Here is a 24260-nt window from a genome sequence, read left to right on the forward strand (position 1 = left end):
AACCTTCCTGGACACCCACCTGCCCACCTGCCCAGATAGCTGTATATACTGAGCCACCACAGGCCCCTGTAGATACTGCTTTCACAGCACTGATATGATTTAGGGCATTGACTTATATATAGGCCTTTTTCTTCCTTTTCATCTTAAAACTTTTTGGGGTCCTGAAATACATAGTCTGGTCTATTGTCAGGCAACAAATCACCCCAAAACACAGTAGTATAAAACAGTAATCATTTTGTTATGCCCAGGGATTCTGTGGATTGGGAAGTCAGAAGTGACAACAGCATGGGTAGCTTCTATATGTTCCTTAATATTTAGGGTCTCAGCTAGGAAGGCATAAAAGCTGGAGGTAACTTAATGACTGGGCTGGAATCCTCGAAGGGCTCCTTCACTCACACATTTGGCAGATGATGGCAGCTGTTGGCTGGGACCTCAGCTGGGAATGTCAGCTGACTCCTCCATGTGGCCTCTCCACATGGCCTGGGCTTCCTCACAGCATGGTGACTGGGCTCCAAGAGTGAGAATCCCAAGAGAACCAGGCAGAAGCTGAATTGCCTTTTATGATCTAGCTTTGAAAGTCATGTAGCATCACTTCTATTATCACGAGCCCACCCAGATTGAAGAGGAGGGAACATAGACCCCCACCTCTCCATGGGGGAAATGTCCAAGTCACACAGTAAGAAGAGCATGTGGAATGGAGGGAATGTTGTGGCTATCTTTGGAACACACAGTATGTCACACGTATTAAGCACTCGATGCATATGAATGGCATTCTTAAACTGAAGATTGAAGCCAGGGTGGACAATGAGGAAGAGTTATGAAGTTGGTGGCTGGGAGTCTTAAGAGAGGGTATGTTCAAGAGATTGTAGAGTGGAGAAGAGTGTGTGTGTGGTGTGTGTGCATGCACACATATGTGTGGTCAGGGAGGGGGCTTGGGGATACATAGAGTTGCTTAAAGGACCGACTGTCAGGTGAGACAATTAAAACATACACACAGAAGGACCCAGATTGGGAAGGCAGGGATGGAAAGGGAGGAGATAAAATTGAGAGACAGTTCACATTTAGAATTGTTTGGATCCAATGACTGCACACATTGGAAGAATATGGGTAACATTTGGGTTGGGAATGTTGGTGAATGCAAAAATAGGAAAGTTGGGAAAGTTGCTCTCAGGAGGGAGAGTTCAGTTCTGTTTTAGACAAGCTGACTCTCAGTGGGCTTACGGCATGGTCTAGGGGTTGGAGCTAGCTGGAGGGTAGTTGAGAAGTCCAGACAGAAAGCAGACATTTAGACCAGGCATGGGGGCTCACACCTGTAATCCCAGCACTTTGGGAGGCCGGGGCAGGAAAATTGCTTGAGCTCAGTGGTTTGACACCAGCCTGGACAACATAGCAAGACTTTGTCTCTACTAAAAATAAAATCAGCTGGGCATGGTGGTGCATACCTGTGGTCCCAGCTACTTGGGAGGCTGAGGTGGGAGAATCAGTTGAGGCTGCATTAAGCCACGATCGCGCAACTGCACTCCATCATGGGCAACAGAGCAGCAAGACCCTGTCTCAAAAAAAGGAGCATCTCACAGTGATGTTTGCTGGAGCCCAGAAGGGCATGAGAATTGAGGGGAAAAGCGGAGGGTTTCTGAGCTGGGATGGGTCTGAGCTGAGGCTTCAAAAGGGCTAAACTGGTCCCCATCCTCCTCTGGCATTGTCCTGCCTCCCTGCCGATAATTGCCAAATAGCTGCTTGCTTTTCTTTTCCGCATCTCCATTGATAAGAACTTGTTTCCTCTGGTTGTTAGGGGGACTGGTTTCAGTGCATTTTCTAGTATCTCTAAGTATTAAGCAAATTCTTCCCTAGATGGAACCTAAGCTTTTCTCTCTCTTTACCCATTTTCTAATTCCATCCCTTAAGGCCACTCAAAACAAGTCTAATTCTTTTCCCAAACAGTAGGCCTTCAGATGTTTAAAGACTTTCTGGAGTTTTATCTTGTTCAGAACCAAAAGGGAGCTGTTCCTCTTGTGGTTTTGAACCCTCATGCTCGCCTTCCTCTCTGCCCAGAGGGTGCGGCCCCACAGGGAAGCCTCCATTCAGTGGGGGACTGTCTGGGTCACAAGCAGGGCTGTCACTGCTTGTGCTGTAGTCCTGTTCAGGTCAGGTCATAGCTGTGTGTGTCAGACTGGGTCAGAACCCATTAGTAGACCCCGAAATCAACTTAGAAGGTTGCAACCTGCATTTAAAAATAAAGAAGAAAGATACATTAATGTATCTGTTAAGGCGAAGTACTGTTTTACAAAACTTGTATATAAGTAGCTAATGGATCACAGCATAAAATGTATTTCTTACTGTGGATTGTAGTGAAAATTTTTGAAAAAAACTGGGTTATAAGACCCTTTGAAGCTGCCACATCACATCATACTGGGTGTGCCATCAGTTAGCTCTCAGGATTTTACCTCTTCTGATTCCTAAGACATTTTTATGGGTACCGCTGCTGCTATTATGTGCTTCTTCCATCTTTAATTTATTTGCACAGATGTGGCTTGGGGCCTAAGTATGAGACCCTGTTTACCCTTTTAGATTTTTTTTCTTTCTAGCCTGTTGACCTTTTGGCACCTGGTTCTGTCACTCAACATAGCTTTATCCCTTCTATTTTCAACATCTACTTATTTATTAAGTGAGCCTTCTCTATCATTATTGATAAATATGTTGAACAGGATAGTTCCAAGAACAGAGCCCTGTGGCAGACCACTAAAGACCCTTCTCCCAGTTGATACACCTCTTGTACCCTTTGAGCATGGTCATTTAACCAGTGGTGAACCGGCCCTTTCAGCCTGTAGTTCTCTGTAGCTGGCCTCAAAAGGGTCATGGCAGACCTTGTGAAACTTGAACATCCACAGCCGAAGTTGCAAAGTCAAAGGCCTACAGGGGGTTGGCAGGTAACACAAGTGAGTGAAGTGATAATTAATTCAAGCAATTAATAAGTAATTCCTGACCCCAGCCTTGGTTTCAAGAAGGCAGTGTGGAGTGGGGAAGCTGGGGGTGAGTTGGAGTAGTTATATCCTATGTAAGGAGTAGCCACTGCTCAGTTACAGACATAGTTGCCCATAGAAGTGTGGATCTTCAAGAAAATCCAGGTTTCATGTGGAATTTGATTTTTGAATGTTGGCAAAACAAAAACATTAACACCATATAGGCAAGTAAAACAAACTTGTGGGAGATTTGGCCCGAAGCTCTCACCTTTGTGACCTGTCAGCCACAGTATCTCCCCATTTACTGTCCAATGACCCCATGACTCAAAGCACTAAGATTGTTTGGATGTTGGTAGGTTAATGGCCTTCTGTGGACCTGACTCCTTGTGGTTCTTACCTGGGCTGTTCTTAAATGCAGCAGACTGAGAGTTGGGAAGGACGCTTCTCCTTCTCTTGCCTGTTGGCCCCGTCTCCTGCTGGCAGGTTTCCTCCAGCATTACTGACAGGTGTTGAGAAAGGTATCAGTGGGATCTCTTGGTTGGGAAATGGGAATTTAGAGTTTCTTAAGATCTTCCTATCCATACTGGCTTCACTTACCTCATATCTACATCTACTTTTCCCTTTCTCCTCTTTTTGGTCCGAGGAGCATTTTCCTTCCCAGGGAATTCAGAGGCACAAGAGCCATCCTAGCCCTTCCTTGTTCTTATTCACACACCAAAAATAACTTTTTAAATCCCTTTTAGTTGTCTTGACCATTTTGGGGAAGCCTCCACTCATGTAGCATTAGTCTCCCTGACACTGTTTTTGTAAATCTGTGCTACTCTCGGGTGTTTCTTCTTGGTTATGCATGCTCTTTCCGTCTTCCTACATAAGCATGTAAGATTTGACCACTTCAGATTGTATAGCCTTGTTAGCCACATTAGTTTAGGCTTCTAAGAAAGAAGAGAGTGCTGGGTGATCTGCCACATTCCTAGACTTCGGAAAAGTAGTCTCCCACTGGGGTCAGGGAAAAGCTGATATATTCCATGGCCTGTGGGGATGGCAGGCCTTTCCTTTGCCTGAGTGTTACTGCTCCAGCTGTGGGCAGGAAGCACAGGAGTCATTGAGATTTGGACCCTGCCTGCCTGGAGCCACCATCAAGTGGGGGAGGGAGGCAGCTGCTTGAACAAATAACAGTAGTGGCATGCGATAAGTGCTAATGAAGGTGCCCTGGGAATCCAGGGAAGGAGCCACAGATAATTCTATGTAGTAGGTAGGGGAAGAGGTGACACTGAGCTGATAAGCCAGGGAGGCCGCTCTAAGAGGCTGAGAAGGGCATTCCAGGCAATGAGAACTGCGTGTACAAAGCCTGGTGACATCAGAGAACATGGCCTGTTAGAAAAGCATGAGGGTCTTTTGTGGCCAGAATGGGGGCAAGGGTGAGGATGAGACAGGAACTGCGGGCTGGGGCCTCTGCTAACCTCCCACAGAGCTCATCCCAAACCCTAGTTTCCCACCACACTTAGGAGCCCATGATGGCCTTGTCTGACAGTCTTAGCACTGGCATCTTTTTAGCCACCTACTTAAAACACTTTGAGGCCAGACACAGTGTCTCACACCTATAATCCCAACACTTTAGGAGGCTAAGGCCAGAGGATCATTTGAGGCCAGAAGTTAGAGATCAGCCTGGGCAACACAGCAAGACTCAGGCTCTAAAATTAAAAAAAATAAAAATAAAATAAATTAGCTGGGCGTGGTACATGCATCAAGTCCTAGCTACTTGATAGGCTGAGGTGGGAGGATCGCTTGAGTCCAGGAGTTCAAGGCTGCAGTGAACTGTGATCACACCACTGCAGGAGTTCAAGGCTGCAGTGAACTATGATCATGCCACTGAACTCCAGCCTGGGTGAGAGTGTGTCTGTAAAATAAATAAATAAAACACTTTGTGTTATACTTGAGGGACTGATTTCTTATTTAGCTTTTTATTTTCACAGAATTTAAAAATTTATAGAAAAATAGCAGGGATCATACTTGGGACTTCACATACCCCAAATGTGTAGGTTTTGTCTCATGTATTTATCATCTTGTCTGTATAGACATATTTTTCCATATGCATATGGTTTTTTTCTGAATCATTTGAGATTAAATTGAGTACATGATGTTCCTCAACTTATGACTGAGTTACGTCCCAATAAACTAATCATCAATTGAAAGTATTGTAAGTCAAAAATAGGCATTTTATAGACATGATGGGTTGCTAAAACACAGAACACAATATCCAGAAAGCCCTAACAGCATGGAACACTGTGGAGCCTCAGTCGTTTACCTTGGTGATGGCGTGGTTGACCAGGGGATCTGGCTTGCTGCCACTGCCCAGCATCGCGAAAGTGTTGCTAGCCTCAGAAAAGATCAAAATTCAAAGTATGGTTTCTATTGAACGCCTGTCGCAAAGTCAGAATCTTAAGTGGAACCATCGTAAGTTGGGGACTGTCTGTACTGTCCCTTTACTCCTAAATACTTCAGTATGTGTATCCTGAGAACAAGGGCATTCTCTTACATAACCCATTGTCTAATGATCCAAGTCAAGATTAGGGATGACAGAATATTATCTTATCCACATCCATATTCACATTTCATGACTTGTCCCAAGTAAAAATAGTGTGCTTTTCCCCAGTCTAAGGTCTAAGCCATGAACACGCATTTAGCTGTTCTTTTTAAGGGAAGAGATTGTTCTCTTCAAAAAATTTCAAAGTCAAGAAAAACAATACAGGTACTTTCTAGAACGCCCTTCAATTTGGGTTTGTCTGATGTTTCCTTGTGATTAGATTCAGGTTATACATTTTGGCAGGAGTTCTATGTGAGTGGTGTTAAGTCATCCGCAATGTCTTACATCAAGAGGCACATGGTGTTGTTTTGTCTCAGTATTGGTGATGATTGTAACTTTGGTCATTTGGGTTAAGGTGGTGTCTGTCTACCAGATCTCTCCACTACAGTTACTATTGTAATTATGTAATTTTAGAGATGCTTTGAGACCGTGTATACATCCTGTACCTCATCATGCTTTCACCTGCTGCCACTGATGTCTTTTTAAATCCATCAGTCCTTCTGTGTTTTCTCTTAGCATTCTACAGTAAGGAAGAGCTTTCCTTTCCTAAGGGATGGGTCTGCAAACTCAATTTCACATCTTTGTATTCACTTTTCTCTTCCTCTCATCCTTCCCCTTTGGTGTGCTTTTGGGGATATGAGGTATATGGTGGTGGCTCTCGTGCTTGGGGAGAGGCCTGAATCCTTCTCTAAGCAGCAACTTGCTTGTCTTTGGCAGGACTGACCTGGCATGGGGCTAAACGCATGCTGTGTCAGATCATCGGCGTTTCCCTCAGGCCTGGGGCTGTGTGTGGGAATGTGGTCTGTTGCCAGCTTTCTGTGCTCAGCCTGGGCTTAAGTGAGGACAGTTTTAGGGGGAGAAAAGAACTATGGGTCCCCACTAGGAAGCCATGGCTGACCCATGGTCCAGGCTGAATTTGTTCATCAAAGCTCCTCTTTCCCTACCCCTACGAACCCACACTTCACACTTAGAGCACGTGTGTACACACAGGCTTGGTTGGATTTCTTTCCATCTTGACAAAAAACAAAATAAAGTCCTAGTGTGACTTTGATCATTGTGAATTAAGGACCTTTTTGTGTGTCTCTGGTTTTAGGAGAGCCTCATTTGTGTGATTGATCTGAGGCTCTAAAAGTTTCTGAGCAACATTAAGAATGTCTCATTAGGATCTTCTCTTTAAAAATATCTTAAAGATCTTCTTTTTGTTTCTGCTGGTGAAGCTCCCTAGGGAACCAGAGACATGGGAAGATGAATTGGAGGCTCAAGAAGTACCAGAGAGAGGATTTGCAAGAAAAGTTGGGGTCAGATGTGCACCTGAGTGGTATGAAGCAGGGAAATGCTTTTCAAATAGTGTGGTTCATTTTTTTCCTTTTTCCCCCTTCTCTCTCTCTTTAGACAGGCTCAGAGCTCAGCCCAGTTGATGGACCTGTTCCAGGTCAGATGGACTCAGGGCCAGTGTACCATGGGGACTCACGGCAGCTAAGCGCCTCAGGGGTGCCGGTCAATGGTGCTAGAGAGCCCGCTGGACCCAGTCTGCTGGGGACTGGGGGTCCTTGGCGGGTAGACCAAAAGCCCGACTGGGAGGCTGCCCCAGGCCCAGCTCATACTGCTCGCCTGGAAGATGCCCACGATCTGGTGGCCTTTTCGGCTGTGGCCGAAGCTGTGTCCTCTTATGGGGCCCTTAGCACCCGGCTCTATGAAACCTTCAACCGTGAGATGAGTCGTGAGGCTGGGAACAACAGCAGGGGACCCCGGCCAGGGCCTGAGGGCTGCTCTGCTGGCAGCGAAGACCTTGACACACTGCAGACGGCCCTGGCCCTCGCGCGGCATGGTATGAAACCACCCAACTGCAACTGCGATGGCCCAGAATGCCCTGACTACCTCGAGTGGCTGGAGGGGAAGATCAAGTCTGTGGTCATGGAAGGAGGGGAGGAGCGGCCCAGGCTCCCAGGGCCTCTGCCTCCTGGTGAGGCCGGCCTCCCAGCACCAAGCACCAGGCCACTCCTCAGCTCAGAGGTGCCCCAGATCTCTCCCCAAGAGGGCCTGCCCCTGTCCCAGAGTGCCCTGAGCATTGCCAAGGAAAAAAACATCAGCTTGCAGACCGCCATTGCCATTGAGGCCCTCACACAGCTCTCCTCTGCCCTCCCGCAGCCTTCTCATTCCACCCCCCAGGCTTCTTGCCCCCTTCCTGAGGCCTTGTCACCTCCTGCCCCTTTCAGATCTCCCCAGTCTTACCTCCGGGCTCCCTCATGGCCTGTGGTTCCTCCTGAAGAGCACTCATCTTTTGCTCCTGATAGCTCTGCCTTCCCTCCAGCAACTCCTAGAACTGAGTTCCCTGAAGCCTGGGGCACTGACACCCCTCCAGCAACGCCCCGGAGCTCCTGGCCCATGCCTCGCCCAAGCCCCGATCCCATGGCTGAACTGGAGCAGTTGTTGGGCAGCGCCAGTGATTACATCCAGTCAGTATTCAAGCGGCCTGAGGCCCTGCCTACCAAGCCCAAGGTCAAGGTGGAGGCACCCTCTTCCTCCCCGGCCCCGGCCCCATCCCCTGTACTTCAGAGGGAGGCTCCCACGCCATCCTCGGAGCCCGACACCCACCAGAAGGCCCAGACCGCCCTGCAGCAGCACCTCCACCACAAGCGCAGCCTCTTCCTAGAACAGGTGCACGACACCTCCTTCCCTGCTCCTTCAGAGCCTTCTGCTCCTGGCTGGTGGCCCCCACCAAGTTCACCTGTCCCACGGCTTCCAGACAGACCACCCAAGGAGAAGAAGAAGAAGCTCCCAACACCAGCTGGAGGTCCCGTGGGAACGGAGAAAGCTGCCCCTGGGATCAAGCCCAGTGTCCGAAAGCCCATTCAGATCAAGAAGTCCAGGCCCCGGGAAGCACAGCCCCTCTTCCCACCTGTCCGACAGATTGTCCTGGAAGGGCTTAGGTCCCCAGCCTCCCAGGAAGTGCAGGCTCATCCACCGGCCCCTCTGCCTGCCTCACAGGGCTCTGCTGTGCCCCTGCCCCCAGAACCTTCTCTTGCGCTATTTGCACCTAGTCCCTCCAGGGACAGCCTGCTGCCCCCTACTCAGGAAATGAGGTCCCCCAGCCCCATGACAGCCTTGCAGCCAGGCTCCACTGGCCCTCTTCCCCCTGCCGATGACAAGCTGGAAGAGCTCATCCGGCAGTTTGAGGCTGAATTTGGAGATAGCTTTGGGCTTCCCGGCCCCCCTTCTGTGCCCATTCAGGACCCCGAGAACCAGCAAACATGTCTCCCAGCCCCTGAGAGCCCCTTTGCTACCCGTTCCCCCAAGCAAATCAAGATTGAGTCTTCGGGGGCTGTGACTGTGCTCTCAACCACCTGCTTCCATTCAGAGGAGGGAGGACAGGAGGCCACACCCACCAAGGCTGAGAACCCACTCACACCCACCCTCAGTGGCTTCTTGGAGTCACCTCTTAAGTACCTGGACACACCCACCAAGAGTCTGCTGGACACACCTGCCAAGAGAGCCCAGGCCGAGTTCCCCACCTGCGATTGCGTCGGTAAGTCCGCCTGGGTATCAGGGAAGGGCAGAGAAAGGGCTGTGGCCTGGTGAGCTAGGATTTCTAGGCCCTGCCTTTCATTTGGCAAACATTTATTTGTGCCAACTGCCACACTGGGTTCTGGGAACACAGAAATGAGCTCATAGCCTAGTGGAAAAGACATTGAAAGAAATTGACGTGATACTGTGCGTGTATGCCACGTCGGCTGAGATGGGCATAGGTGCTTTAATACACAAATGGAGTTGAAGGCATAATAGAGGCCTTCTTGTAGGAGGTAGTACTTGCGCCGAGCCCTACAGAGCCATCAGATAGAAAGGACACATTCTAGAAGAGGGAGTAGCTTGGGCAACAGCTTAGTGGCTATGAGGGAGTGGAACTTACTTGGACTATTCTTGGTTCAGGCAGGAGCAAAAGGGGTTGGGTATATGTGGAGATGAACAAAAGGTGGCTTGGTGGGTGAGGAGGATGGTGTCAGGGGCCAGATTGTGTAGGGCCCAGGGAGCCAAGGCCAAGAGTTTGACTTGACCCCATAGGTAATAGTGAGCTCCTGAGGATTTTAAAGCAAGGAATGCCCTGTCACCTTGTGCTTTTGAAAGACTTCTGGCTTATGGTGGGGAGGGAAGCTTGAGGGCACTGAGGAGACATAGCTGTAAGAAAGGTGTTGTCATGAGCCAGGCAAGAAATGACAAGGGCCTGGCCTGAAAGAGCCGGTGGCAGAGGGAGGGGTTGGAAGGTCTCCAGAGGAAGGCTTGTGGGAGGAGGGGATGAGACACTGCAGGTCTCTGCCTGGGGGTGGTGGTGTTCACTGATAACTCGGATTGGGAGGACAGGAAGTGAGTTCCCACTGGACGAGCCACATCTGAAGTGGCCAGAAGACCAGGTCAGGGTCTGAGTTACACGTTTGGACCTAGTTAGCATGCAAGTCATGGTTGAAGCGGTGCCGTGTGTGAGAACGCGTTGAGGAGTTGAGTCCACTTCTAAGCCTTGCCTTCTGGAATGAGAGTAGGGTGCAGGGCCACTGAGGACCACTCCCCAATAAGCATACTGTCTCTGGGAAGTCCTGGAGGCAGTAGTAAGCTCCAGGTCCACTCGGCCCCCACACTCTGTTTAGGGAGTGTTCTGTAAAAGATATGTGTGTTTCAGATGTTGACAGAAAACACAGTGGTGCTGGCGATGAGCATATTGAATTCTTGTGATTTTGTGATACACAGACGGGTCTTGGGAAAAGGCTGTCTTCCCTACTTGTGAAAAATACGTAAATATCAAGTAAGTCATGTACTTGCTGGGATGTTGTTTCCCGGTCAGTAGGGAGGAGCTGGGCTGTTCTGCCTCCTCCAGCTACCCCTCCCCGATCCTGGGGTACGAGGCAGAGGGGTGGGTGACAAGGAGTCACATGCAGAACAAGGAAAATCTGGCCCCAGGGCTCTTACTTGGGGGTGAACAGATATGCTGCCAGGCACTCAAGAGACATGCTCCTAGATGATGGTTCCCACTGGCCCTGTCCATTCTTAGATATGACTAGTAACGACATGACTTCGAGGGCCCTCTTATTTACCAGCATATGGGGGAAACTTGTTTTGATCATGGGGTCCGCTTACCCTTTTCTCTGTGCGTGTATGTGTGTGTCCCATCCGCCTGTGTTTAGCACCTCGTTTCTCCTTCTACAACGTGGGAAATATCCTTACCTAGTGTTTTAAGACATAGTTGATCCTTAGCCAATATTTTAATTGTTGAATTTAATTATATGGATATTATGTGTGGTCAAACTAGTTTTTAAATTTGCATCCCAACTCCATCACTTACTAGCTGGGAGTGCTTGGGCACTTTACATAACCCATCACGGTTTCTGCTTCCTCATATGTAGAATGAAAACGATAATAGTACCGGCCTCACCAGGGCTGTTGTGAGGATGAAATTCGTTACTATGTGTAAAGCACTTAGTGCTGTGTTGGCACAAGAGTGTCAGCTGTTATCAAGCCTATCAAGTCCAATAGGGCAAGAAAAGTAAAACCATACCTTGTAAAGGAAAAAAAAAAGTTGGCTGTTCCTTTAGTTACCATATATTAATTACCTAGCCATGTATAACTACCAATAAGGATAAAATTAAGAGAAATGGTTCATCACTGAAGGACTTTGCGGTTTCCTTTTTTTATTTTTAGGCAGGGTCTCACTCTGTTGCGGGGGCTGGAATGCAGTGGCATGATCTCTGCTCACTGTAGCCTCCACTTCCTGGGCTCAAGCAATCCTCCCACCTCAGTCTCCCGAGTAGCTGGAATTACAGGCGCATGCCACCATACTTGGCTAATTTTTAAAAATTTTTTGTGGAGACGAGGTCTCACTATATTGCCCAGGCTTGTCTCAAACTCCTGGGCTCAAGCGATCCTGTCATCTCAGCCTCCCAAAGTGCTGGGATTATAGTCGTGAACCACTGCACCCAGCCTATGGTTTACTTAAGGAAAAAAAAAAACAACAATAAAATATTTAGTTACCCACTCAGCCAGTGTGTGCTGAGTGCCTTTTACCTCCGAGGCCCATGCTGTTGTATGGAAGTGGCTATATCGCAGGGGTACCCTGTAGCACAGACTTAGTTGTCATCATGGGAGATCATGTTTTATCTGGGAAACTCTTGTTTAGAGCTGGGTTTTGAAAACTGTGGTGAACACAGATGGGGAGAGGCAGAAAGGCTTTCCAGACTGAGTAGTGCATAAGCACAGTCTTGGGGCAGAAGGAGCAAGCTTGCAGGATGGGATGTTGCAAGGGTGACCTGAAACCTCTGTTCTCCTGCATTCCTCGGATGAGGAGCCTCCACCAGAGAGGATACATGTTCGCTTGTAGGCAGTGAGCAAAAATGCAGGCATCTGTCAGCATCAGAGAAACCAGACCTCCAGGAACTGGGAGCTAACAACACTTTGTATTATTAAATTAGAGGAAAATACTTAGGTAAAAACAGCAGAAACAAATTTGAACAATCATCTCAGTTGAGTTTTAGAAAATGGAAAAAAGACTAGAAGAAAATATATGAACAGTGGATTGTCTGTATGGTCGGAGTATGGATGACCTTTCCCTCATGTGTTTTCTGAATTTTCTACAATGAAATTTGTGTTGTATAACCCAGAAATATTTGTGAAAGTGCATGCTAGCAGTAGCATGGAAGGTGGATTGGTGAAGGGTGATAACCCTGTGGTAGGAGACCCGTTAGGAAGCTTTTGAGAGTAAAAGTGTTTATGAAGCACCTGCTCTGGTCTAGGCACCCTGCCAAGTACTTAATAGTCACCACCTCACTTAATCCTCATAGCAGCTCTATGAGGTAAATACTGTCAGTGGCTCCATTTTAGCCATGAGGAAACAGATTAAGTAATTTACCAAGGTCATACAAACTAGTGAAAGTGAGATTTGAACCTAGGCAGTTGGACTCTTAACCACCATGTCATATTGTGATTGAAATTGGTCAGTTGGGAAACAAGTCCTCACTAAAACAATGGTAGTAGAATGAAGAGAACCAACGAAGAGATTTGCTCTGAAACAGCTTCTGGAGGGCCTGAGGTTCATGTTAGGAAAACCCATTCTGTTTTCCAGAATTGTCTGGCCACATGCTTCTCGCTCTGTTGCCCATGCTGGAGTGCAGTGGCGTGATCTTGGCTCACTGCAACCTCTGCCTCCTGGGTTCAAGCAGTTCTCATGCCTCGACCTCCCGAGTAGCTGGGATTACAGGCACCCACCACCATGCCTGGCTAACTTCTTGTATTTTAGTAGAGACGGGGTTTCACCGTGTTGCCCAGGCTGGTCTCAAACTCCTGAGCTCAGGCAGTCCACCTGCCTCAGCCTCCCAAAGTGCTAGGATTACAGGTATAAGCCACCACGCCTGAACAGGTGCTTCTTCAGTTGGTATGGTAGAATTTGTCTTTGTGAATTCAGGCTCAGAACAAGGCTTAGAAATCAAGGTGCTCACTCTGGGATGACAATGGGAAAATCCCATACTCCAGAAATTCATCCCCTCACCAGTGGTAGGTAGAGAGTTATAGGTTAATATAAGGAAGAATTTTCCATAGAAGTGGGGGTGAAATATGGAGACTCCATGAAGCCATCTAAGAGCTGATAACAGAATATGGGAACAACTTTATAAAAGCATACAAGTTCCTATAGCCAAAAAAAAAAAAAAAAAAAATGGTGGGGGAGGGGCCCGGGCGCTGTGGCTCATGCCTGTAATCCCAGCACTTTGGGAGGCAGAGGCGGGCAGATCATGAGGTCAGGAATTCGAGACCACCCTGGCCAGTATGGTGAAACCCTATCTCTACTAAAAATACAAAAATTAGCTGGGCATGGTGGCGGGTGCCTGTAATTCCAGTTACTCTGGAGGCTGAAGCAGAAGAATCACTTGAACCTGGGAGGCCGAGGTTGCAGTGAGCTGAGATCACGCCACTGCACTCCAGCCTGGGCGAAAGAGCAAGACTCTGTCTCAAAAAACAAAACAAAACAAAAAAACCCTCTATTATTCAAGTTATTTGGTAATTTTGCCAAATAAGCAATTTAGCCAATATGAGCATCACCATGTAACCAAAGTCCCCAACCCCTTTATGTAAAAATGATGGGTTTCTGAAGGTCTGAATGGGACTCATATGGATTTTTTTATCTGAATCTTGAAGTTCTAGAATTAAAGGCACCCCTTAAAGCTTCAAAGAAGTAAACTTATAAGCTATGAAAGGAAATGCCATTCTCTAAAAGATAATATGATGTTTGCAGCTTTGAGAATATTTATCACAAGTTGAATTTCTATGTTGAATTATTGCAAGTGACTTGTGGATGTGGATATTTAAAAATACTCATTGGAGAGTCCCCCCCCAACCATCCTATAACACCATTGTCAGAAACAGGACAAGGAGCTATAGAGACTGTTGTTCCCTTCGCCTTTGTGTATTTTGTCTATTTTCAGTAACAGGGAAATTCCCAAGAGGAGCCAGTTTAGGACGGAGAATGAATGCAAATGACTTTTTAGTGGGAAAAGCATCCTTTGTGCTCATCTAGTCACCATCTTAGAGATGAGGAAGGTATCTGTGTTAGTTTGTAAGCGTTGTCCTGATGTCTCTGGGGAGCAGCCAACAGGAAGCTGCAGAGACTAAACCACAGCAAAAGCAAGAGGTTAGGAGGTGTAGATGCTAGTGGTTGCCTTCATAGAAATATGTTGTATTTTTAATCAGTTGATTGTTCTTCCCTGAAGAAGCCACAGGGAAAATATCTCCTTTGCCTGGAGCATGGTGAAAGTCTGGGTGAGGGAGTGGCATTGTCCAGCGAATGTGGCTGATGGCATGTCCATCAGGGAATTTCAAATGGGACATAGTCCTGAATGGAGGACACAAAGTTATTTGTTTACAGTCGTGTAAAGTCTGTTTTCTACAGTTTTTATTTCTATGAGAATGTATCACACAAACCCCCCACCCCACTGCATTGAGATGAAGAGAAACTTCCTATCTTTTAAATGTTTTTTTGAAACAATGACTATTTGGACACCATATAAAGGATGGGGAATCTGACGGTGAGTAGGAGGGTATCAGAGAAAACTTCCTGCAGGAGAGGATGTCTTACTGAGTTTTAAAGGATAAATAGAAGTTTAATAGAGGAACAGGGAGAAGGGACCTGAAGTTTATGCAGATGAAAGACATGTGGAAAGACACATGAAGATGCGGAAGATGAGAGAACATGGGGAAATACAGGTCATGCGGGTGTGACGGGTGTGGAGGATGAAAGATTGGGAGTGGCTGGAGAGGAGAGTTTCAGGGGAAGAGGGGATGATACCAAAGCCAGAGAAACCAGTTTGTAGGCTCAGATGTAGTTCAGGCAAGAAATAATGGGCCTCTGAACTAGAGTGACCTTGAGTAGAAAGGAGGAGGGGAGGGGGCAGATAAGAGAAAGAATAAGAAAAGAATTAACTGCTCCAGTGACTGGTTGGATGTAGGAGTAAGGGAGGAGGAGTGGTCACAGGTGACTCCTGAGGTTTCAGGCTGGGCGACTGGGTTGATGGTGCTGCCTTTCACCAAGGTTAGAAATACTGGGAGGGCAGCAAGTCTGGGTACCTGGCTTTTGAATGTCTGTGGGACCTGGCAGTGTCCATCTGGTCAGATCTGTGAACTGGTAGTTCTTTGGCAGACTGATGGTAACTGAAAATGTTCAGTCCTGATCTTTTCACCAGGCTGACTGTGTAGATCAAAAAGAAGCCCCAGAATGGAAGTTACCACCATTTAGGGGAGAGGAGCTCAAACAGGAGGCTTTGAAGAAAGTGTGGAAAAGATGTGGGAAGAAATTGAGGAGAGGGTATGTTAAAGAACCAATGGATAGTTTCAAGGTCGGGAGGGCTAACAGCATCAGAAAAGAAGGGTTAGGATTTAATGCTGGATTCTTTCTTGTCTTACATTATTTGTTCTATGTGCACCAGTCTTTGCAGTTAAAGCCCAGATTCCTTAAGCACAAGGACTGCATGTTTTTTGTTGTTGTTGTTGTTGTTGTTTTTGAGATGGGGTCTCACTGTGTCACTCAGGCTGGATAGCAGTGGCAGACTCACAGCTCACTGCAGCCTTGACCTCCTAGGCTTGAGCGATCGTCCTGCCTCAGCCTCCCAAGTAGCCAGGACTACAGGCATGCACCACTATGCCTGGCTAATTTTTTAAATTTTTTGTAGAGGAGATGGGGTCTTGCCATGTTGCCCAGGCTGATCTTGAACTCCTGGGCTCAAGCGATCCACCCACCTCGGCCTCCCAGAATGCTAGGATTACAGGAGTGAGCCACCATGCCTGGCCGCGTGTTGTATTTATAAAGCATCTAGACTGGTGCTAAGCCTATGGCAAGTACCCTTCATATTTTTTGGTCAACTGGTCAGCCTTATTCTGCCTCCATATTTATACTCTGCAAAGGTGTCAAATGGGTTTAGGAATGATCTCCTTACCTTTAATGTTTATGGTCTTGAATATGCCCATTATTATAAAGGCCCAGCATGCTGTACATGGTTTCACAGGCAGCTGACCTGAGATTTTAGTGTTAAAAAATTCATCCAGCACACCTGATCCAGAGTAAAGCCTAACATTCTACCTGCCCATGGCTGTGGCTTTGTAACTATCAGGAGGCATCATGCTAGCAGTCATTGACTGTCATTAAAGTGGAATCTAATTATCTATATAATCTTATGCTCTTCAGCGTTAAGTCCACTAAAATTATATCAGGAAACTGAGTTCTGTGGTTTGAATGTTGTTGTTTCCCCAAACTTACATTGAAACTTAATCCCCTAAAGGCAGTATTGAGAGAGTGGCCTTTAAGAGGTGATTGGGTGATGCAGGCTTTATCCTCATGAATGGATTAATTCATTCATGGATTAATGGGTTAATGGATTAACAGGTTAGCATGGCAGTGGGACTGGTAGCTCTATTCAGAAAGGGAAGAGAGACCTGAGCTGGCACACCCAGCCCCTCACCATGTGTCCTACACCACCTGAGACTCTGCAGAGTCCCGATCAACACGAAGGGCCTCAACAGGTGTGGCCCCTTGACCTTGGACTTCTCAGACTCCAGATAGATTCCTTCCTTTATAAATTACCCAGTTTCAGGTATTCTGTTATAAACAACAGAAAATGGACTAAGAAACTGGGGCAATTATATAGGATTGTTTGGAAAGAGTAGATAGGTACAAATGGAGCCTTTGTGTGATCTTGACATCTGTACATTAATTGTATACTGTCTCTCTGTACTAATGTCATAAAAAAGAAATGCCTCAGCTGTGCTCCTGTGTACATTCCTGGCCATTGGTTCCCCACTGGAAAAATGTGGATGCCTTAGTCTGTGTGTAGAGAGTGTGGAAAGGTGGAAGGTTCTTTTAGAAATTAAGCATCTCTCTTTCTGTTAGGTAGTAATGAGTGGTTTCTTGTGTTAAGTGTCTCTTGCTGATAGCAGAAAGGATATATTCATTCTCTCCCCAGCCTAGAGCAGAAATGGAACAGAACATATTTTTCTATTTTAATGAGTATAGAATTAAGTGCACAGGGTTAAGAAAAACACTTAAAGCTGTATAACGAGCACTTTCTCAAAAATTGGATTTTGCTCTCCTGAGCTCTCCCCTAGAGCTTTCTACCATGTATTTTAGAAAGGGGGGGAAAAAAAGAACCACCTTCACTTCTTCTCTCAGTGGTCAAAACAAGACATAAAATAGATCTTTCTTTAAGAAGAGTTGAGCCATTTCCCAGCGATGCCACTTTATCTTTATGGAGAAGGAAGAAATATTACCCTGGGGACTACAAGGTAAAATAGTGACTTAACAGCAAGATGGTAAAATACTCCTTTCCTGAAACCTGGTGAAAGGAACCAAATCAATAAAAATAGAGGAAAAGCTTTCATCAGCTGAAATTTGGGAATAGCCCCAATCTTCAACCATGAATTCCAAGGTCTCTCTGCCACTTTGAGATCAAATTGAATTAAAGAATGACACACTGAGTACACAACTCCCAGTGTTGGGAAAAGTAACAGAGGGACCCCACAACTTGGAGAAATGGGCTGGAAGATGGGAGACCACCATCTAGAAGCCATGCTCTCTGGAAACCAGGGAATGCAGGCAGAGCATGTTCCCCATTTGCTCCAGCTTTTGAAGGGGATAAGGTCTGGGCTGAGGATGAGGATGGTGGGCTGGAGAGATGGGAAATCATATCCTAAGAGCTGGCTTTGTAGCTGAGGGCCAACAGTACCGAAAAGGCTATTGTACAAAGAAAAAATATATGCTGAACCACCAAACAAAAATCCTGCCAACTGTGGGGCTTTATTTTAACTTGACATCTTATCAGAGTGACCAGCTCAGTCCCTTTCGAGGGAATGAACCAAAATCCTAAGAGTGTCTCTCCACATCAGGACAGAGTACAACCCAACCCTCAACATACACATAAAAATTTAGAGGCATTGGCTCCAACAGACAAAGGGCTTGGAGATGAAATTTCCCAGTCGCAATTGTCCACAGCCAGCCCCAGTTCTCCTATCCCCTCTCAGACTGCTGAACTTTCAAACTAATAATTGAAACCTCTACAAGCATCCAGTTATCTACCTGAATTTTTAAGGAAAGAATTTGAGCACTGTCCAGGTAAACAGGAGTAAGGAAATTCTGCCCACTCTATTTTTGGGCAAATAAGTATAGACCAGTGGCTTTCAATTGGAGGCTTTCCATTCCTCTCCCCCAGGGGACATTTGGCAATATCTGAGGACATTTTTGGTCATCAAAAGTGGTGTGGAACCACTGGCGTCTAGAAGCTGGGGATGCTGCTAAGCCTCCTAACAGTGCCTACAGTAAGGAGCTAGTTGATCCAAAATGTCAGTTCTGTCAAGGGGGAGAAACTAGAGATCAGCTTCTCCTGTGAGAAGATTGATTAACAAATAAACAAAATCAACATGGTAGCCATTCAAATTCTGTAGGAAAAGTGGAGGGATTAATATAACATTTAATAAGAAAATTTATAATTCTTTGTACATTTTCATTAGTGTTAACAAGCTTAGTTGCAAACAAATACTTAAGCTAAAAAAAGAAAATTTACATGAGAAAATACAGGAATTGTTTAAACCGCTGATTTATATCTTCAGGGAAGTTGAAGAAAACAGTCGCTATCAAATAAAAAATGAAAGATGAGGTGCTAAGTTATAAAGAAGTTGTGAGAGTTATGGATTAAATTCCAGAAGAAGCATGCCATTACAAAGCACATAAAAAGTGCATTGAGAAGCTACAAAAAGCAGAATCAGAGTTAACAGAAAAAGCAGATCGGTGAGGAAGAGGCATGGTCTTGAAAGTTCACCCCAAAACGGGAAAATGTAGAAATGAACAGTATCACTGTGGCAGACAGCGAGGGAAGCAGAAGAGAGGGACAGTAGGGACCCCACACACAGATTCATTCTGGTGGGAATCTTGGGAACACTCGGTGTTCTCGGCGAACAGTGTGGAGCAAACTGAACAAACGTGAGAGTCAAAGGTGGAATAGAAAACATTTTTGAAGTGAAAAGGTGTTATAAGTTATCATGTCCCAGGGAAAATGAGGGAAATTTGACAAATAACAATGCCGATTAACTTATTAAATTTCAAGGGTGAAGAATCACCTACAAGTTTAAAAAAAAAAAAAGTTGGTCACCTATATTAGGTTTTTGTAGACAAATTTTTTTTAATTTTTAAATTTTTTTCTTTTTTAAAAGCACTTTCAAAAAACATTTTGTATTGAAATACACATACAGGAAGATATGTAAATCACAAGTGTACAGCTCAATACAGTTTTATAAAAGACACACTCATGTAAACAGCAGAACAGAATTTTACCAGCATCTCAGAAGCCTCCGAAGTCCACCCCTCCAGGCACGTGGCACCCAATCCCCTAAAGCATAGGCTGGCAGCCTGCAGACCAAACCTGGCCCACACTCATGTATAAAAGGGGTTTTTATGTTTTTAAATGGTTGAAAAAAAAAGTCAGTTGAAGAATAACATTTCACGACTCATGAAAATATCAGAGTCTGTAAAGTTTTATGAAAACATGACCAGGCTCATTTGTTGATCCGTTGTCTATAGCCACTTTTGCACTACAGCAGCACAGTTGAGTAGTTGCCCCTGAGATTGCAGAGCCTAAGATGTGTGCTGTCTGGTGCTTAACAGAGTAAGTTTGCTGACCCCTGTCCTAAGGTAACTATTCTATTCTAACTTCTTACCACACTGATCAGTTTTGCCTGTTCTTGAACTTCATACAATGGAATCATGAATATGTATCATATGCTCTTTCATATTTTGGCTTTTGCTCAATGATGTGTTTGTGAGATTCATCTATATTGTGTTTTTATTTTATTTATTTAATTTTTATTTATTTTTTTGAGACGGAGTCTCGCTGTGTTGACCAGGCTGGAACATAGTGATGCAATATCGGCTTACTGCAACCTTCGCCTCCCCGGTTCAGGTGATTCTCCTGGCTCAGACTCCAGAGTAGCTGGGACTACAGGCATGCGCCACCACACCTGGCTAACTTTTGTATTTTTTTAGTAGAGACAGGGTTTCGCCAGGTTGGCCAGGCTGGTCTGGAACTCCTGACCTGAGGTGATCTGCCTGCCTTGGCCTCCCAAAGTGCTAGGATTACAGGTGTGAGCCACCATGCCTGACCTATTTATTTATTTTTAGAGAGACAGGATATCACTGTTGTCCAGGCCAGAGTACAGTGATGTGATCATAGCTCACTGCAACCATGAACTCCTTGGCTCAAGTGATCCCCACACCTCCCAAGTAGCTGGGACTACAGGCACATGCCACTGTGCCTGGCTAATTTGTAAATTTTTTTTTAGAGACAAGGTCTCTCTTTGTTGCCCAGGCTAGTCTCCCACCTTGGCCTCTCAGCATGCTGGGATTGCAGGTGTGAGCCACCATGCCTGGCCCTGTGTTATCTGTATGTATGTACATTTGTTATCTGCCCCGTCGTTCATTCTCATAGCTGTACAGCATTCCATTTTTTGAATACACCACAGTGTATCCAGTAGGTCACTGATGGTCTTTTGGGTTGTTTCCAACTTGGGGTTATTATGAATCATGCTGATATAAGACATTCTTATACCTGTCTCTTGGTGCATTTATGTATACATGTGTATACTTAGGTATTTACCTAGGACTGAAATTGTGTGTGTTGAGCTTTAGTAGGTACCATTGGTCTTTCAAAGTGGTTGTTACAGTTTAAGCTCCCACCAGCATTGCTCCACGTTCTCACCAGCAAATGGTGCCATCCAGTCTTTGCCATTGTGGTAGATGTATAATAGTATCTCACTGTGGGTTTAATTTGAATTTCCCTGATGCCTAATGAGGGTGAGCAGTTTTTCATATGCCGTCTTTTGTGGAGTTCCTGTTCAAGTCATTTCTGTTCAAGTTCCGGTTCAAGTCATTCAAGTTGCTGTTCAAGCCCATTTCTGTATTGTTTTTCTTATTGAGTGGTAAGGGTTCTTTATTTTGGATATATGGGTTCTTAGCTGGATACGTGTATTGCAGTTCTCAGAGTAGAGTATTGAGATTAAAAAGTTTGATCCAAGTTCGACTTACTTAAGTCACCATCCATATGTAAAGTCTTCATAAAAACATTTTTTTTTAAATTTATTATTATTTTTTTTTATTGATCATTCTTGGGTGTTTCTCGCAGAGGGGGATTTGGCAGGGTCATAGGACAATAGTGGAGGGAAGGTCAGCAGATAAACAAGTGAACAAAGGTCTCTGGTTTTCCTAGGCAGAGGACCCTGCGGCCTTCCGCAGTGTTTGTGTCCCTGGGTACTTGAGATTAGGGAGTGGTGATGACTCTTAGCGAGCATGCTGCCTTCAAGCATCTGTTTAACAAAGCACATCTTGCACCGCCCTTAATCCATTTAACCCTGAGTGGACATAGCACATGTTTCAGAGAGCACAGGGTTGGGGGTAAGGTCACAGATCAACAGGATAAGTATTTTTCTTAGTACAGAACAAAGTGAAAAGTCTCCCATGTCTACCTCTTTCTACACAGACACAGCAACCATCCGATTTCTCAATCTTTTCCCCACCTTTCCCCCCTTTCTATTCCACAAAACCGCCACTGTCATCATGGCCCGTTCTCAATGAGCTGTTGGGCACACCTCCCAGACGGGGTGGTGGCCGGGCAGAGGGGCTCCTCACTTCCCAGTAGGGGCGGCCGGGCAGAGGCGCCCCTCACCTACCGGACGGGGCGGCCGGCCGGGCGGGGGGCTGACCCCCCCCACTTCCCTCCCGGACGGGGCGGCCGGCCGGGCGGGGGGCTGACCCCCCCACCTCCCTCCCGGACGGGGTGGCTGGCCGGGCGGGGGGCTGACCCCCCCACTTCCCTCCCGGATGGGGCGGCTGGCCAGGCAGAGGGGCTCCTCACTTCCCAGTAGGGGCGGCCGGGCAGAGGCGCCCCTCACCTCCCGGACGGGGCGGCTGGCCGGGTGGGGGGCTGACCCCCCCACCTCCCTCCCGGACGGGGCGGCTGGCAGGGCGGGGGGCTGACCCCCCCACCTCCCTCCCGGACGGGGCGGCTGGCAGGGCGGGGGACTGACCCCCCCACCTCCTTCCCGGACGGGGCGGCTGGCTGGGCAGAGGGGCTCCTCACTTCCCAGTAGGGGCGGCCGGGCAGAGGCGCCCCTCACCTCCCGGACGGGGCGGCTGGCCGGGCGGGGGGCTGACCCCCCCCACCTCCCTCCCAGACGGGGTGGCTGTCAGGCAGAGACGCTCCTCACTTCCCAGACGGGGTGGCTGCCGGGCGGAGGGGCTCCTCACTTCTCAGACGGGGCAGCTGCCGGGCGGAGGGGCTCCTCACTTCTCAGACGGGGCGGCCGGGCAGAGACGCTCCTCACCTCCCAGACGGGGTCGCGGCCGGGTAGAGGCGCTCCTCACATCTCAGACGATGGGCGGCCGGGCAGAGACGCTCCTCACTTCCTACATGGGATGGCGGCCGGGAAGAGGCGCTCCTCACTTCCTAGATGGGATGGCGGCCGGGCAGAGATGCTCCTCACTTTCCAGACTGGGCAGCCAGGCAGAGGGGCTCCTCACGTCCCAGACAATGGGCGACCAGGCAGAGACGCTCCTCACTTCCCAGACGGGGTGGCGGCCGGGCAGAGGCTGCAGTCTCGGCACTTTGGGAGGCCAAGGCAGGTGGCTGGGAGGTGGAGGTTGTAGCGAGCCGAGAGCACGCCACTGCACTCCAGCCTGGGCACCATTGAGCACTGAGTGAACCAGACTCCGTCTGCAATCCCGGCACCTCGGGAGGCCGAGGCTGGCGGATCACTCGCGGTTAGGAGCTGGAGACCAGCCCGGCCAACACAGCGAAACCCCGTCTCCACCAAAAAAAATCCATAAAAACATTTTTAAATATGCAAGAACTCAAATTTTCTAGAGATGAATCAAAATAATAATAGATGGGGAAGTTGTAGTATGGAGAGGCTGGCGATGAACACTAAATCTGTTCAAATGTAAAGTCTAACTTTAAATGACAGTTATTTTTCTAAAACAAAAGATATTTACTTAAACTCTACTTAAGATATATTTTTATGTTAAACATCTTAACATGTAGCAGAGGGAAATATGTTCCTGAGGATACCAGTGAAAAGCAGAAGTAAAGGAGGAGGTGGGAGAAATTATAGAGGTGCTAACTTTTCTCTTTAGAAGTACCGTTAGCATTTTTAAAAACATACTATAGATTTTCCAGATTACCAGGGATGGTGCTGATGGGGGAAATAGAAAATACAAAATCTGCAGCAAACGAGGAAGACAAGGAAGCACTAAACATGGAAAACATAAAATGCCGGAAATATATGTTATAACAATGAATGTAAGTAGGGTAAAGATTGAATTTAAGATTGAATAGCATTAAACAGCACCAAGAAGGTTAGTAAACCTTGTTTCACTGTGAGAAAAAAGAGAACCGTATGCTGAAGGATCTAAATACTTGGTTAAGTTCAGGTGAAACTTTTTTTTTTTTTTTTTTTTGAGACAGAGTATCACTCTGTCACCCAGGCTGGAGTGCAGTGGCGCGATCTCGTCTCATTGCAACTTCCGCCTCCTGGGTTCAAGCCATACTCCTGCCTCAGACTCCCGAGTAGCTGGGGTTACAGGCGTGCACCACCACGCCTGGCTAATTTTTGTATTTTTAGCAGAGATGAGGTTTCACCATGTTGACCAGGCTGGTCTCTAACTCCTGACCTCAAGTGATCTACCCACCTCAGCTTCCCAAAGTGTTGGGATTACAGGCCTGAGCCACCATGCCTGGCCTGAAACTTTTTTTTTTTTTAATGGAGTATGCCAGGCTTCTCATGTAAGATCACTTTGAGAAGTCTAATTGTCCCACCGTTGGTGAAGCCCAGGTGTCACTAGGTTAAGGTGGTAAGAGCAAGAGCCAGGTCTTGCCATTATAAAGTTATGTTTTCCCCTTTGTGTCCAGCAAATAATTTGTCAGGCAATACTTCACCACCATGTGATTATCCAGTTCCCCATCAATCTTTAGTCATATCATGTCTACTGATGATCCTTGTGTAAGTTAATTTTTCATTAGGGATTGCAAACTGATGATATTCTAATTCTGTCCATCCTTTTTTTACGTTTAATACCTTACAAAACCTGAAAGATGCTCAATAATTCAGTCACAGAAGGACAAATGCTGCATGATTCCACTTATATGAGTTTTTGTAAA

At 46.7% G+C, this 24260-nt stretch overlaps 1 protein-coding gene across 16 annotated transcripts in view, besides 2 other annotated features; it reads left to right on the forward strand.

The window, feature by feature from the left end:
- Positions 1 to 24260, forward strand: part of TET3 (tet methylcytosine dioxygenase 3) — a 151868-nt gene that overhangs the window by 55711 nt on the left and 71897 nt on the right. For 14 of the 16 annotated variants that reach the window (XM_011532683.3, XM_047443659.1, XM_017003566.2 and 11 more), the window contains one exon: positions 6937 to 9070. The exons of the other annotated variants lie outside the window; for them this stretch is intronic. In XM_011532683.3, coding sequence (XP_011530985.1) covers positions 6937 to 9070 — 2134 coding nt within the window. The remainder of the gene's footprint in view (positions 1 to 6936; positions 9071 to 24260) is intronic. 16 annotated transcript variants of the gene reach the window in all.
- Positions 12363 to 12864: an enhancer, noted in NCBI's record as "NANOG-H3K4me1 hESC enhancer chr2:74278831-74279332 (GRCh37/hg19 assembly coordinates)". NCBI's record gives its function as "activates a minimal SCP1, AML or CMV promoter by ChIP-STARR-seq in primed H9 embryonic stem cells {active_cell/tissue: H9 hESC(primed)}" and the evidence as "EXISTENCE:reporter gene assay evidence [ECO:0000049][PMID:30033119]".
- Positions 12865 to 13364: an enhancer, noted in NCBI's record as "NANOG-H3K4me1 hESC enhancer chr2:74279333-74279832 (GRCh37/hg19 assembly coordinates)". NCBI's record gives its function as "activates a minimal SCP1, AML or CMV promoter by ChIP-STARR-seq in primed H9 embryonic stem cells {active_cell/tissue: H9 hESC(primed)}" and the evidence as "EXISTENCE:reporter gene assay evidence [ECO:0000049][PMID:30033119]".

Source organism: Homo sapiens, chromosome 2 (assembly GCF_000001405.40).
Source record: "Homo sapiens chromosome 2, GRCh38.p14 Primary Assembly".
Classification (NCBI taxonomy): domain Eukaryota; kingdom Metazoa; phylum Chordata; class Mammalia; order Primates; family Hominidae; genus Homo; species Homo sapiens.